Below are 15,129 nucleotides of genomic sequence, written 5' to 3'. Positions count from 1 at the left end.
GGTTAGGTAACTTACTTAAGGTCACACAAGTAACAACAGGGTCAAGATCTGAACCTAGGCAATCTGCAGACATAAGGGGAGCTATAGAGGTGCTAGTGAGGAACATCTCTCTGGAGATGGCTTCACCACTGTGAATCGCCTTAAAGAGTAAGCCCATGGAAGAACCCTAGCTGGCTTCTCTCAGCATCCATGTCAGCTTAAGCCAGCCTTTCTGGAAGAAACCCTTGGAACTATAGCATGTGCTTCAGATCTGAGCTCATCCCCAGAGCCACTGGAAGCCAGGCCTCCAGGTTGCCCAACCTACATGAACCTTTGTTTCCACAGTGCACTGTGACTGCAGCCTGAGGCAGGACTGCCTAGCCAACCAGCAGACCTGTGATATATGCTTGTTATTGTAAGCCACTCTGTCCTTGGGTGGTTTGTGATGCAGCCTTGTTGCAGTAGTAACAGGGTTAGGGTAAGAGTTAGGGATAGGAGTAGGGGTTAGGGTTGGGGCTGGGGTCCAGGCAAATTGTATGGTGACTTTTAAAAAGAGGGTAGATATGAAGATAGGAGAAACGGACAGGTTTGGGGTATATGTTGGAAGTAAAACAAGACTTGCTGATGGATAGAGGTAGGGAATGAGAATAAGAATGAAGAAACCCTTGTGTTTTTAACTCTAACAACAGGGTAAATTGTGGTCCTATTTACTAAGACGGAGGAGTCTGAGGTCAAACAGGTTTGGGGCAAAACCAATACCTCTTCTCAGCCACGTATGGTTTGAGATGCCTCTTGGGCATCCACTGCAGATGTCAAATCGGCATTTTGATATATAAGTTTAGGGTTCAGTGGAAAGGCTAGAACTAGAGATATAAATGGGAGGGGATTGTTATCCATAGAACACCGTTCCTTAAACTTAGTGTGTTGCAGAATCAGCTGGAGGACTTTATATTGAAATACACTAGTGAGTCTTGTCCCCCGAGATTCTGATTAAGAAGGTCTGCAGTGGGCCCAGCAATATGTACTTCAAGAAAGTTTTATTATAAAACAATTCAAATAAATATAAAATAAGAGGCAGTAATACAGAGAACCCCCATAAGAAAGTAACCATAAGGCAATTATTATCAACATGGGATCAATACCGATTCATCTGTAAATCTACCCTATTACCCTCCCCGGCCCTTCACCTCTGACAGGTTTATTTCAACACAAATACTTTATCCATAAACACTCTCAGCATGTATCTATACTGACATCATATACTTCATCCATAAACACTCTCAGCATGTATCTATACTGGTATCATATACTTCATCCATAAACACTCTCAGCATGTATCTATAAAATACAAGGATTTTTTTTAAAAAAACACAACCATATCATTATCACACCTAAAACATCAATAATAATTCCATAACCATCAACTACTTGCTGTCAAAATTTGCCTATCTGATAATTTAAGTTGGTTTGCATTAAGATCCAAGCCAAATCCATGCAATGCATTTGTTCGCTATATCTCTCAGGTCTCTTTAAATATGGAGGTTTCCTGTCCTTGTTTTATTCCTTCTTATTTAGTGACAAAATCATTTGTCCTGTTGCGTGCCCAACATTCTGCAATCTGCTAATTGCATCACTGCTGGGTTGTTTCACATGCTCCTTTGTCCCCTGTAGTGTCTGTATATTGGTAACTGTGTCTAGAGACTTGATCAGGTTCAGATTCAAGGTTCTGGCAAGAGTAGCACATGGGTGGTGGTGTGTACTTTCTGTTACATAACATTGGGATTCACATGTCTCTATGTGTTAAGAAGATCAATGGGTTCAGGTGTTACCAACCTGATCCATTTTTATAAATTTCCTCATCAGTTGTTCACCTAGTGGTTTTAACAACCATTGATGACCATTACTTAGATCCATTATTTTTTCTTGGGGCCTGCAAAACAGCAGTATTTGATTTTATCATCCCATCTGCATGTATAGCTGGAATTCTCTATAAAAATTATTTCCATCCAGTATTTTGTTGCCTTGAGATAGAGTTAATATAACAAAGGCAGGATAAATACTTGATTTCCCCCTTTACTTACCAGGTTTTACAATAATAATTTTGTTTCCTAAATTCTTCCAAAGGTGGCCCTCATTGGATATTTTGTTGTAGTAGTATTATGATCTTAAAGAATTTAACAAATTTGAGATGCTTAATCCATTAAATTACTCTTTTTACACTAAAATTGTCCTACCTTTCAATTGGCCCCCAAGCCTTTTGACATGACCCTTGTGGCTTTTGATGGCTTCCTTGCTCTCTGGCATGACAAGATGACCCAGGCTCATCTTTTATTTTATTTTTTTCCTTAGACATGGAATCAGCTATTTCTCCAAGGAATCCCGGTTCCTTTCAGTGGGAAATGGTATTTAGAGCATATGGTAAGCTTTTAAAATGGTGGATTCTGTGCCTCTAGTCTCCCTCTCTTTTAAAACACCCTCCAGCCTCTATACCACTGTTTAGTAATATTTCTTTAAGGCAAATCTGATTACGTCCCTTACCCGATTTTAATTGTACACGGTGTATCATCATTCACAGGTTCAAGTCTAAGCTCTTTATATTGGCACACAAGGCCCTTTTTGTCTACTTTTGTGGCTCACTTCTCTATATTTCTAGCCTTCTTTTCTGGGCATACAATGTTCCCCAATCCTGTCAAAGCAATTTGGTAGCTTTCCAACCAAGCCATGCCTTTGTCTTTGTAAATTATCTTGGCCTGGATTGCTGTTCTCACTTTGTACTAGAAATTCATATATAGTGCAATTGTTACTTCTTCCGGGAAGCTTTGCCTGGCCTTATCACAAAAAATTCAGTATTTCCTCCTGGCTATTATCCTCGAATCTTGTTCATATCTCTATTATATTATTTATCGTATTGCCATGATTATTAGCTTTTATGTCTGTCTCTTGCACTTGGCTATGAGTACTGAAAGATAGGACAGTGTTCTTTATAGTTGTGTGTGTGTATAATAGTTTCAAAATTACAATACTGTATTATTACTAACAATATGATTATGGAAAACAGTTTAAGGTCATTTTATTACAGTGCTCGTTGTCATTAGAGTATATTTTGCACAAGCTATACAGTCAAATAATTGTTTCAAAATCCCTTGGGGAAAAAAATCTGGATAAATTATCAGCTTTATTCATTTGTTATACCTTCTTGGAAAACGGATCCTTTCATTATTATTTAGTGCCCTTCTTTGTTCCTGATAATTTCTCTTGTTCTGAAGTCTGTTTTGTCTGAAATTAGTAGAGTTATTCCAGCTTTCTTTTCTTTCAATGGAATCTCGCTCTGTTGCCCAGGCTGGAGTGCAGTGGTGCGATATCGGCTCACTGAAACCTCCGCCTCCTGGGTTCAAGCAATTCTCCTGCCTCAGCCTCCCGAGTAGCTGAGACTAAAGGTGCATGCCACGCCTGTCTAATTTTTCATATTTTAGTACAGACGTTTTCACCGTGTTGCCCAGGATATCTCTATCCCCATTACTTGTAATCTGTCAGTCTTTATATTAAAAATGTGTTTCTGTAGACAACATATATTGAACCTAGTTTTTTAAAATCTACTTTGATAATCTTTTGTTATATTTAGACATTCATATTTAAAGCAATTATTAATATATTTCTGGGAATGTCAACTATGTTTGTAACTGTTTTCTATGCATTGTCAGAGACTTCTTTTATTACCTTGTTTGGTTTTAATTGTGCATTTTCTCTTCTCTCTCAGTGCGTTATACTTGGTTTAAAAAATGTTATTGATTGCTCTAGAGTTTTCAACATACTTTTCTAACTAATGTAAGTTCACGCTCAAATAGCATTATTCACCTGTAGCACAGGCACTTTATAGCAGAACATTCCCAGTTCTTCTCTCCTGTCCCTTATGACATTGTTGTCATTTATGTACTTATCTATATGCTATAAACACCCATTATATTGTTAATATTATTCCCTTAAACTGCAGTAATCTTTTAGATCAAGTAAGAGAAATGAAAGATTTTATTTTACATTTAAACTTTCCCCAATGCTCTTATTTTCTTTACATAGATCTGAGTTTTCGCTTTTGTTTTGTTTTCTTTTGGTTTTGTTTTTTTGAGACAGGGTCTCACTCTGTCACCCAGGCTGGAGTGCAGTGGTGTGATCTTGGCTCACTGCAACCTCCATCTCCTGGGTTCAAGCAATTCTCGGCCTCAGCCACCCAAGTAGCTGGGATTACAGGCATGTGCCATCATGCCTGGTTAGTTTTTGTATTTTATGGTAGAGATGCGGTTTCACCATGTTGGCCAGGCTTCTTTTTTTTAAATACTAGATATGGGGTCTCACTTTGTCACCCAGGCCAGAGTATAGTGGCATAATTACAGCTCACTGCAGTCTTGCACTCCTGGTCTCAGCCCCCCAAGTAGCTGAGATTATAGGTGTGAGCCACAGTGCCTGGCTAGATCTGAGTTTCTGACATCACTCTCTCTCTCTTTGAAGAACTTCTTGTAACATTTATTGTAAGGAAGGTCTGATGACAATGAATTCCTTCAGTTTTTGTTAAAGAATGTCTATATTTCTTCACTTTTGAAGAATAATTTTTGCAGGATATGGAATTTTGGGTTGGTGTTTTTTTTTCCTCATAACACTAAATATATCACTCCATTCTCTTCTTATTTGCATGGTTTCTGATAAGTTTATTGTAATTCTTATTCTTGGTCCTTTATGGGTAAGGTGTTTTCTTTTTTTTTTTTTTTCCAATTTTCTCTTTGTTTTTTGTTTTTGCATTTTAAATGTGATATGCCTAAGTGGAGTGTTTTTTTGTTTTTGTTTTTGTATTTATTCTGCTTGGTGTTATCTGAGCTTCCTGGATCTGTGATTTGGTGTCTGTCATTAATTTTAGAAAGTTCTTTATCATTATTACTTCAAATATATATTTTGCTCTGTTTTTTTCTTCTCCTCCTGATATCCTAATTATATGTATGTTACTTATTTTGAAAACTGTCCCACAGTTCTTAAATATTCTCTTCTGTTTTTTTTTTTCCCATTGTCTTTGCATTTCTGTTTGGGAAGTTTCTATTGACTTATCTTCAGGCATGCTAATTTCTTTCTTCAGCTATGTCAAGTCTATGAAAGAATTCATCAAAAATATTCTTCATTTCTGTTAACAGTGTTTGTGATTTCTAGTATTTCCTTTAGATCTTTTCTTAGAACTTCCATCTCTCTGCTTAAATTGTCCATCTGCTTTTGCATGTTGCTTACTTTTTCCACTAGAGATCTTAACATATTAATTACCGTTATTTTAATTTCCCTGTCTGACAATTCCAACATCTGTGTCATACCTGAGTCTGGTTCTAGTGCTTGCCTTGTCTCTTCAGAGTGTTTTTTTCTTGCCTTATAATTTTTTTTTTTTTTGAGAAGGAGTCTCGCTCTGTCACCCAGGCTGGAGTGCAATGGTGTGATCTCAGCTCACTGCAACCTCCACCTCCTGGGTTCAAGCGATTCTCCTGTCTCAGCCTCCCGAGTAGCTGGGACTACAGGCATGCGCCACCATGCCTGGCTAATTTTTTGTATTTTTTTTAGTAGAGATGGGGTTTCGCCACGTTGGCCAGGCTGGTCTAGAAATCCTGACCTCAGGTGATCCACCCACCTTGGCCTCCCAAAGTGCTGGGAGTACAGGCATGAATCACTGCGCCCGGCGACCTTATAATTTTTTTGTTGAAAGCTGGACATGTTGCATTACGTAACAGGAACCGAGCCATTAGTGTGAAGATCTACATTAATTGGAATAGGAGGTAGACTTTGTTTAATGTTTGCTGTAGTCTAGTGTCAGAGATGTCAGAGGTAGTCAGGTATCAGAGGCTTCAAACTCCTTCAGTGTCCTTGTTTTTATCTTCCCTCTTGACGTCAGGCTTCCCTAAAGTATTCCTCTTCCTAAGATATAGTCTGAGTCTTCCAGCTGTAAGATGTCATCTGTAACCTATTATTATACTGGAATCCTGTTGGTGTTGTTGTAAGGTGTGAGGGAGGGGAGCCTTCTATAATATTCTAATTAAACCTTTTAGTGGGCCTGTGTCTCTGAACTGGTTTTTTTGTTTGTTTTGTTTTGTTTTTTGTTTTGAGATGGGAGTCTTACTCTGTTGCCCAGGCTGGAGCACAGTGGCACAATCTTGGCTCACTGCAATCTCTGTCTCCTGAGTTCAAGCAATTCTCCTACCTCAGCCTCCTGAGTAGCTGGAACTATGGCCATGGACCACCACACTCAGCTAACTTTTTTTTTTTTTTGTAGTAGTAGAAACAAGATTTCACCATGTTGGCCAGGTTGGTCTTGAACTCCTGACCTCAAGTGATCCACTCACCTCGGCCTCCCAAGGTGTGAGCCACCACACCCAGCCTGAACTATAATTTTCCCAAGTTTTCTATAGCTTCTCTTTTCCCCCTTCCCTTAGGTGAGACCGGGAGGCTAGAGGGGGCTGGAATGGGACACTCTTCCCTAAAGGCTCTGGGACAAGCTTCTGATGAAGATTTTTACTCTGGAGAATAGGCCTTTATTACAGAAAAAGCTCTGAACATATTTCACAATTATTAGTCCTTTCCTCTCCGTGATAGAGCCACGAAGGGATCTTTCTTAGATCTTTACCATGACAGCCTGGGTTGCTAGAGGTAAAGCCCATGAAATTTTGAGGGTGCCCTTAAGACTGAGGTCCCCAGGAACGTCTTCCTATTATGCTAATCCACACTTAACCTTCAACAATTCAAGAAAATGACCATTTAAACGTCGTATTAGTTCATGGCTCCAGTGATTTCTGCTCCAGATAGTAGATCTTGGCTGTGACTCTTTGGATCCTTCAGTTACGCTATATTCTGGGGTGGCACTTGCCTGGCAACCTCAGTTCTCTAGTGGATCCAAAAAAGTCATTGCTTTTCAGTTTGTCTAGAATGGGAGTAACAACTTCTGATCTCAAGGCCTAAAATTGGAAGTTGATTCATTTAACTTTTTAAAAAATGAAAAGAATTTTTTTTAAATGTAACTTATTTACATGTTTTCAAAGTCAAATATACACACAAAACATCTATGAAACAAAGTATATTAAGGATTTCATATCCCATTCCTGTCCCACTTACCATGTATTTTCCTTCCCTTATAGTAACTATTTCTTTAAAAAACAAAAACTAGGCTGAACACGTTGGCTGACGCCTGTAATCCCAGCACTTTGGGAGGCTGAGGCAAGCAGATCACTTGAGTCTAGGAGTTGAAGACCAGCCTGTGCAACATGGTGAAGCCCCGTCTCTACAAAAAATACAAAAATTAGCTGGGTATGGTGGTGTGCACCTGTAGTCCCAGCTACTCAGGAGGCTGAGGTGGGAGAATTGCTTGAGCCTCGGAGGCAGAGGTTGCAGTGAGCCAAGATCATGCCACTGCACTCCAGCCTGGGAGACAAAGTGAGACCCTGTCAAAAAAAAAAAAGAAAAAAAAAAAGAAAAAACTTTTGGTTTATCCTCCTATTGCTGTTGTGGCCTTTAAGTAAATGCCCTATGTAATTGTGATGCAGAAGGGTCAGAAGGGTCTTGGATCCACTTTGAGAGAACACTGCCCTATGGAAATATGTCTCATAAGGGAGTCAGCAAATGTGCATTTACAAAAAGAGAGGAGAAAAGAAAGAAGGATGTAAAGAAAGAAGAAAGAAGAAAAAGGAAGGAAGAAACAAAAGAAGGAAGGAAGGAAAGTGAAAGGAAAGGAAATGAAAAGGAAAGAAGGAAATAAATGAATTACCAATTCAGAGAATTACAAGATAAATAACCACCTCACTATTTCTACCAAGTTCTAGAAACCTAACTCTAAAGGCCTACATAACAAAAAGTCTGGTCATAGGAGGATTCCAAGTTTGGCTAATTGAGAGGCTCAAGAATGTCATCATGGCCCCAGGTTCCTCCCACATTCAAGCTCTGCTTTCTGCTTGCTCTCGTCCTCTGCTTATCTTTCCTCACCATCACAAGATGGCTGTAGCTGCTAAAGCATCATGCCTACCTAATACACTTCTCAAAGATTGAATGGAGGAAAGAGAATGCATCCCTTCCTTCTGTCCTTTCTTAAGAGTAGAAGAACTTTCTCAAAAGCCTCTTGGAAGATTTTCCCCCTTATACCATCAGATAATTGATTTTTACCTGCCCATTCCTTAACCAATACTAGGCAAAGGGAAAATAAATACCATGATAGGTTAAGATGAACCAAAATTCTCCTCTAGGTCTGGATAAAGGTCTGTCCTCCTCTGAAACACACAGGAATAGGCAGACAGCCAGGAGTGTATGCCATACTATTTAAAAGAAGATCAGCCTTGCATAACTTCATGCTGTGTAGTGGGAAGGACCCTTTTGCTCAACTAAAAAATATACATCTTGTCCATGAATACCTTCACCCCAGGTCCTTGCCTTCCAGAGCACATGACCTCCAGCTCTCTCCTGTTTGATTCCCATTAACAATTCACTTGTGAGAAAGAGTATTCACTGCACAAAGCTTTGTGTCCCACCCATTTCTCAAGACAGTATCTTCAAAATGGTTCTGTGGTTTGGTTTGACAGGTGTAAAGAAGACTCATGTTCCCAGCTCTGCAAAAATACCTCTCCTGCTTCTTGTTCATGAGAAGAATGGATTCACCACAGTGAAAGGCTTTACTCTTTGTAGCCAGTGCTTTTGCATATAATAGGCTGTTTTAAGGGAATATGCATTGAATGAGTGAATGAATGAAAATTCACCTTTAAAATGCACAAATAACTGGGAGAAAATAATTTACACATCTAATACACTTCCAAGAGAAATTTTCATATGCTTTTATTTCATTTGGAATTGGTAGGACTTAGTCAAGACAACTTTTATTTTTCTTTTTTAAAAAATTCTTTTTGCCTTTGTTCAATAACAGAAGTAATACATGTTTGCTATAAAACTCAAATTATGGCCAGGAATGGTGGCTCACACCTGTAATTCCAGCACTTTGGGTGGCCAAGGTCAGTGGATCACTTGAGGGCAGGAGTTTGAGACCAGCCTGGCCAACATGGTGAAACCCTATCTCTACCAAAAATACGAAAACTAGCCGAGTGTGGTGGTTCACGCCTGTAATCCCAGCTACTCGGGAGGCTGAGGCAGGAGAATTGCTTGAACCCAGGAGGTGGATTTGCAGTGAGCTGAGATCAGGTGTGGTGGTACACGCCTGTAATCCCAGCTACTCAGGAGGCCGAGGCAGGAGAATCCCTTGAACCAGGGAGGTGGATGTTGCAGTGAGCCAAGATTGGGCCACTGCACTCCAGCCTGGGCAACAGAATGGGACTCCATCTTAAATAAATAAATAAACAAATAAATAAATAAATAAAATTTATGAAGATATATTAAAAATTAATAATCTACCTTTCCCTCTATAATTCTATTGTGGTAACACATATTAATAGTTTGGTGCATGTGATTCCAAACCTTTTGCTATGATCAAACATAAACAAATCGGATAAGAATATTTCATAGTTTGGTTGTACCAAAATTTCTCCAATCTTTCCCTTATTGAAGGTCCTTCACTTTGCTTCTAGGGGACTTTTTTTTTTTTTGCCCTCAGAGATAATGTTACAGTAGACCATCCTTGTACTAGCAAGTACTAGTGCTTTTATTTCTATGAAATAGATTGCTGTGAAGGGGATTGCCAAACCATTTAATATTTTAGTGACTGTGTTAATCTGTTTTGTGTTGCCATGAAGGAATACCTGAGACTCAGATATTTATAAAGAAAAGAGGTTTATTTAGCTCACGGTTCCATATGCTGTACAGGCATGGCACCAGCATCTGCTTGGCTTCTGGCGAGACCTAAGGAAGATTTTACTCAGGGTGGAAGGTGAAGGAGGAGCAGGTGAGTCACACGGAAATAGAGGGAGCAAGAGAGAATACAGGAGGTGCTGGGCTCTTTGAAGCAGCCAGCTCTTGTGTGAACTAACAGAGTGAGAGCTCACTCCTTCCCTTGGGGTGGGCACCAAACCATCCATGAGGGATGTGCTTCTGTGGCCCAAACACCCACTAGGCTTCACCTCGAACACTGGGGAGATCACATTTCAACATGAGACTTGAGGACAACAAATATCCAAACCATATCAATGACCTTGATGCATTGCTTTCCCCAAAAGTTTAAAAGTTCACAGTTCTACCACCAATACATGAAAGTGCCAGTTTCTGCAATGCCCTTCTGTGCACTCAATGTTATTACTTAAGAACAATTTTTAAAGCCAAATGTTGAGTAAAAATGAATAATTGCTGTTTTAATTTGTATTTTGTTGAATACTAGTGGGTACTCAGCACATTTTCTTGTGTTTGACTTTTGCATTTTGTGCTTTGTGAACTGCCCGTGTTAGGCATCTTCTAAAATGGCTCTCAGTGATCCCTGCCTCCTGGGATTCATACATTTGCATAATCCTCTCTCCTTGAATGTGGGCCAGACTTAGTGGCTCCCCTCTAGTGATAGAACATGGCAAAGGTAATAGGATGGTACTTCCGATTTTTTCCATTCTATGGTTTGCTCTTTGAGGGTCTTATTTAAGAATTCCTGTCTCCAGCATTACATTCATTTTTCTTTCATTCACTTGACCTTTTATCATTCCATCTAGGCACTTAGTCCATCTGTAGTTCGCCTTTGTATTGTTTTGCAATGTTTTTCCAGTATGGTTAACCATTCTTTTTCCATCAAAACATGTCTCAGTCAGCTTGTCCTGCCATTAAAAAATGCCATAGACTGGGTGGTTTAAACAACAGAAAATGATTTTCTCACAGTTCCTGAGGTGAGATGTTCAATTCTGCCAATTCTGTGTCTGGTGAAGGCTCTCTCCCTAGCTTGTGGACAGCCACCTTCTTGCTATGTCCTCCTATGGCCTTTCCTTAGTGTGTGGGCAGGGAGATAGAGAAAGAGATTTCTCCCTTTTTTTTTAATACTAGTGCACAAAATTTATGTATGCTTGCCTGTTTTTCAGGGAGAAAAATCTTCATTAATCATGGTGAGAAGAAACTCAACTCCTTGGACCATAAAAATACAACACCCAGGTATCACTTGTAGCCAGGTGCCTGATTTATACCTAGCAGGAGTTAAAGCAGCTATGGCACACTGGCCTGGAAAACACACTTATGGAAGGTCATGGTCTAGTTCTCTAAAACAGTAGGGAGGCTGCTTGTGGGGAAGGCTCCCCAGTAGGATCCCACCACACAAAAGATTCTTCCTTGATTGCTCATAAAGGCTCATCCACTCTCCACACCCAAAGACAGCCGTATGGGTATCTAACTGGAGTGGCCCAAGATGATCCAGAGGAAATTCAAGACGCAGATGCTATTCAGTGCAGAACAGATGCTTCCTGGTATCTTTGTGGTCTAGATGGCTGACACATTCTTTTGCCAAGAAAAGCATTTCAAAGCATGGTCCACGACTCTAGAAACCCTTTTCCTCTGCTTGGGGGCAGTGAGAGATGGATCAGTCAATCCAGCTGCTGGATTCTGTCTCTTGTTCATGCCTCTTAGTTAAAGGCAGATCCTGTAACTGGCCCAAGGTGACCCATGTGCAGGTGATGCCCTGCAGTCTGACCCCCACCCCAGCTGTCACATAGACAGTTCTAGGACCAACAAGGCATTGAACCCACCAAATTGGTTCCAGTTTTTATAAAGGTAGTTTTTAATGCTGGTGTGATGGTGATGAAACAGACATGGACATTTCAACTCAGGAATAGCCAAATGGAAGAGATGTGTAGGGCAAGCTGTGGGGAAGCAGGGGGATGCGCGTGTCTGTATGTCCAGAACTGTCATGTCTTCTCTTGGGTGCCACCCTCCCAAATCTCAAGGTATTCACCAACCTGGAAGCTCCTCCCTCTTCCTATAAGGCCACCAATCCTGTCGGCTTAGGGCTCCACTCTGATGACCTCCTTAAACCTGAATTACCTCCTAAAGGCCCTGCCTCCAAATACAGTCACACTGGGGGCTAGAGCTTCAACATATAATTTTGGAAGGACACAATTCATAATTCAGTCCACAGCAACTATCTGTTAAATAATCTATATTTTCCCCACTGGTGTGTGGCACCACCACAATCATACTCTAATTTCCCATATAGGCACTCTTTAGTCATTTTCTTTCATCTGTTTGCTTCTTCCTGACCTGGTTCCATTCTACCTTTATCACTATGTCTTTGTAACATTTTTTATATCTGGTAAAGCAAGTTTCCCTTTCTCTTCTTTTTCAAAACTGGCTTAGTGGTTCATGGAATTAAATTTTTCATATATATTTATTTTAGAAGAAATTTGTCAAATTTATCAAAAATCCTTGAGCAATTTCTTTCCTTCTTTCTCCTTCCTTCCTCCCTCCCTTCCTTCTCTTCCTTTCTTCCTTTCCTTCCTTCCTTCCTTCCTCCCTCCCTACCCCCTTTTTTTCTTTCTCTTCTTTCTTTCCCTCCTTCCCTCCCTTCCCTTCCTTCCTTCCCTCCTTCCATCCCTCCCTCCCTCCCTCCATTGCCCAGGCTGGAGTGCAGTGGCACAATCACAGGTCACTGAAGCCTCGACCTCCCAGGGCTCAACTGATTCTCCTGCCTCAGCTTCCTGAGTAGCTGAGACTACAGGCACACACCATCACCCAGCTAATTTTTTGATTTTTTTTTTTTTTTTAAAGACGGGGTCTCATTATGTTGCCCAGGCTGCTCTTGAATTCCTGGGCTCACTCGATCCTTCCACCTCAGCCTCCCAAAATACTTGGATTACATGCGTGACCCACCATGCCCAGCCCTTTGAGTAATTTCAGTTGAACTTGCATTAAATTGTTGAGTTGAATCAGTATGTTTACATGTCACTCCACATATAAACATGGAATAATCTGTTCATTTATTTTAAAAAAATATGTCCTTTAAGTTTGTTGGTAAAAGTCTGCCTTAGTTTGTTCAATTTAGTCAGGAACTTATGGTTTGGTTTCTATTATTAATGCTATCTTGTTTATCCTGTTTTATACGTGGTTATTGCTAGTATAGAGGAACACTATTGGATTTTTTTTTTCATAACTTTGCTGAGGTATGTGGCAGTCAGGTAGACGTGTGACTCAGATCTCTTTTAAGAGAATCTGCTGTGGGAGCATGGTTGACTGACAGCTGCTGCTGCTGCCTCTCTGTGGCTACCATCACAGTCTTACCTATGGCTCCCAGTGACTGGGTACAGTAGTGGTAATAGCGCCGGTGCATTCTTGCAGAATGCAAGCTTTGTCTGAAGGCCCCCCGTTTGCCCGGCTGAACCATTTTTAGAACGTTGCTGCAGACTGAGAGTTGTCCTACCTAATCTTTCTTCCTTCCCCCTTTCCTTTCACAGATATGAGTCAGGCGTTACCATGTGACGATTCTCCCCATCTTTTTCTACTCTTTTTTACCCTTCACAGGAATTTTTCTCCCAATACATTTCTTGCATGTCTAATCTTGCTTTGTCTCCTGCTTCTTGGAGGACTAGAACTGAGAGAAGGGATGATTTACATTTAGTGAAATGCACAGATCTCATTTACAGTTCCATGAGTATGACAAATGCTTACACTTGTGTGTCTCATACTACCAACTATACTTGCTGACTTAGTTATTTCTTTCAATTGTCATTTAAAAATATGTGTTTCAGTGCTTTCTTAGGTGAATATACAGGTGTGATCATATATCTGTTGAAATATGCCTTACAAATATAAAGCTTCCTTCTTTGTCACATATCTATTTGTTCTGATAATAAAATTGCTCTCTTTAAGATCCTATTTCTCTGGTGTATTTATCTCCCTTCTTGTATTTTTTATCTTTTTGTATTCTCTTGCTTTAAGTGTTTCTCTCATAGATAACATTAGATATTAATCCTCTCTGCATCTTTATCTTTTTATACTAGTGAATTTTATACATATGACCTTCCTTTCATGTATTCTATTTACCACACTTTCTGTTCCTTTTATTTCCTCTTACTACTTGCCATTAGAAAGGGTAAAATTAAACCAGGTTTTTGTTTTAGTAAGTTATGAACGACTACCCAAAGAATAAAATTGAATGTATAATTTCAAGCAAGAGACATTTCAATCTATCTAATCATTTTTAATTATCGATTGTCACATACATGTTTTGTTTGCTTATTTCATTGTAATGGTTGCTGAGTTTTACAACAGAATTTACCAAATTATTTATTCACCCTTCCATTTTTGACCACATCCTCCTTGTTTCCTTCTTGCTAGAGCACTTCCTTGAATATTTTCAAAGAGGGTGTTTCTATGGCAAACATGAATTATTAACATTAAATATTACTATTAATTATCATATTTAAATGATAGTTTAGCTGGATTTAGAATTTTAGGTCCTAAGTTCTTTTACTTTAATACTGAAAATATTACTCTGTGGTTTCCTTGTAGATGTCACTGTTGAGAAACCTGATGTTGGTGATTCTTGTTCCTTTTCAGGCAATTTGTTTTGTATCTCGAAGTGTTTAGAATTTTCTCAATGTCTCTGATGTGCTTAAATGATATGAACATGTATCTAGGTATGTTTTTTTCTTATGTTCCTTATCTTGTTAGGAGTACTTGTACTTTGAGGTCTTAAAAACCTCTCTAATCTGAGAAATTCTCTGTTTACTCTTTCTTTAAATATTCTACTCTTGTTATTTTTTCTTTTCTTCTGAGACTTCTATTAATTGAATGTTGGTGCTTCTGTTTCTATTTTCCATATCTCTTTTCTTTTTTATATTACAACTATAAAACCCATAATGATGCTATCTGGAACTAATACTCCACTACTTTGATTTCTTATCTATGTATTCTGCTATTCAATCTACTAATCAATAGTCAATCCATTGAGTTTTTGTTTCAATTTTTTATACTCAGAAATTCTTCTTGGGGCTTCATTATGCCTTTGGCTTCACAGTATCCTTTCTTATCTGTTTAATATGCTTTCTTGTTCTGTCTGGTCTGCTAAGTTTGCTTTATCTAAGATTAGATTTTTCCATTAGTTGCTTTTCTCTTATATCAGTGGCTAATTATACCCAGGAGTATATTTTTTTCCTAGGAGTTCAAATTCAGAGCTGTCACACTGCAATGCAGTGGCCCTATACCTATTCTTCTAGAATAGAGATTCTCAACCTGGGGTAAATTTGC

The 15,129-nt window shown here is 39.3% G+C and overlaps 1 long non-coding RNA gene across 1 annotated transcript in view; it reads left to right on the top strand.

Moving 5' to 3' along the window:
- The window catches only part of LOC100287944 (uncharacterized), a 278,422-nt gene that overhangs the window by 196,543 nt on the left and 66,750 nt on the right, over window positions 1-15,129 (top strand). The gene's annotated exons all lie outside the window — the stretch shown is intronic.

The sequence above is a fragment of the Homo sapiens genome, chromosome 12 (assembly GCF_000001405.40).
Source record: "Homo sapiens chromosome 12, GRCh38.p14 Primary Assembly".
Classification (NCBI taxonomy): domain Eukaryota; kingdom Metazoa; phylum Chordata; class Mammalia; order Primates; family Hominidae; genus Homo; species Homo sapiens.
This window is presented reverse-complemented; position numbering and strand designations above follow the sequence as displayed.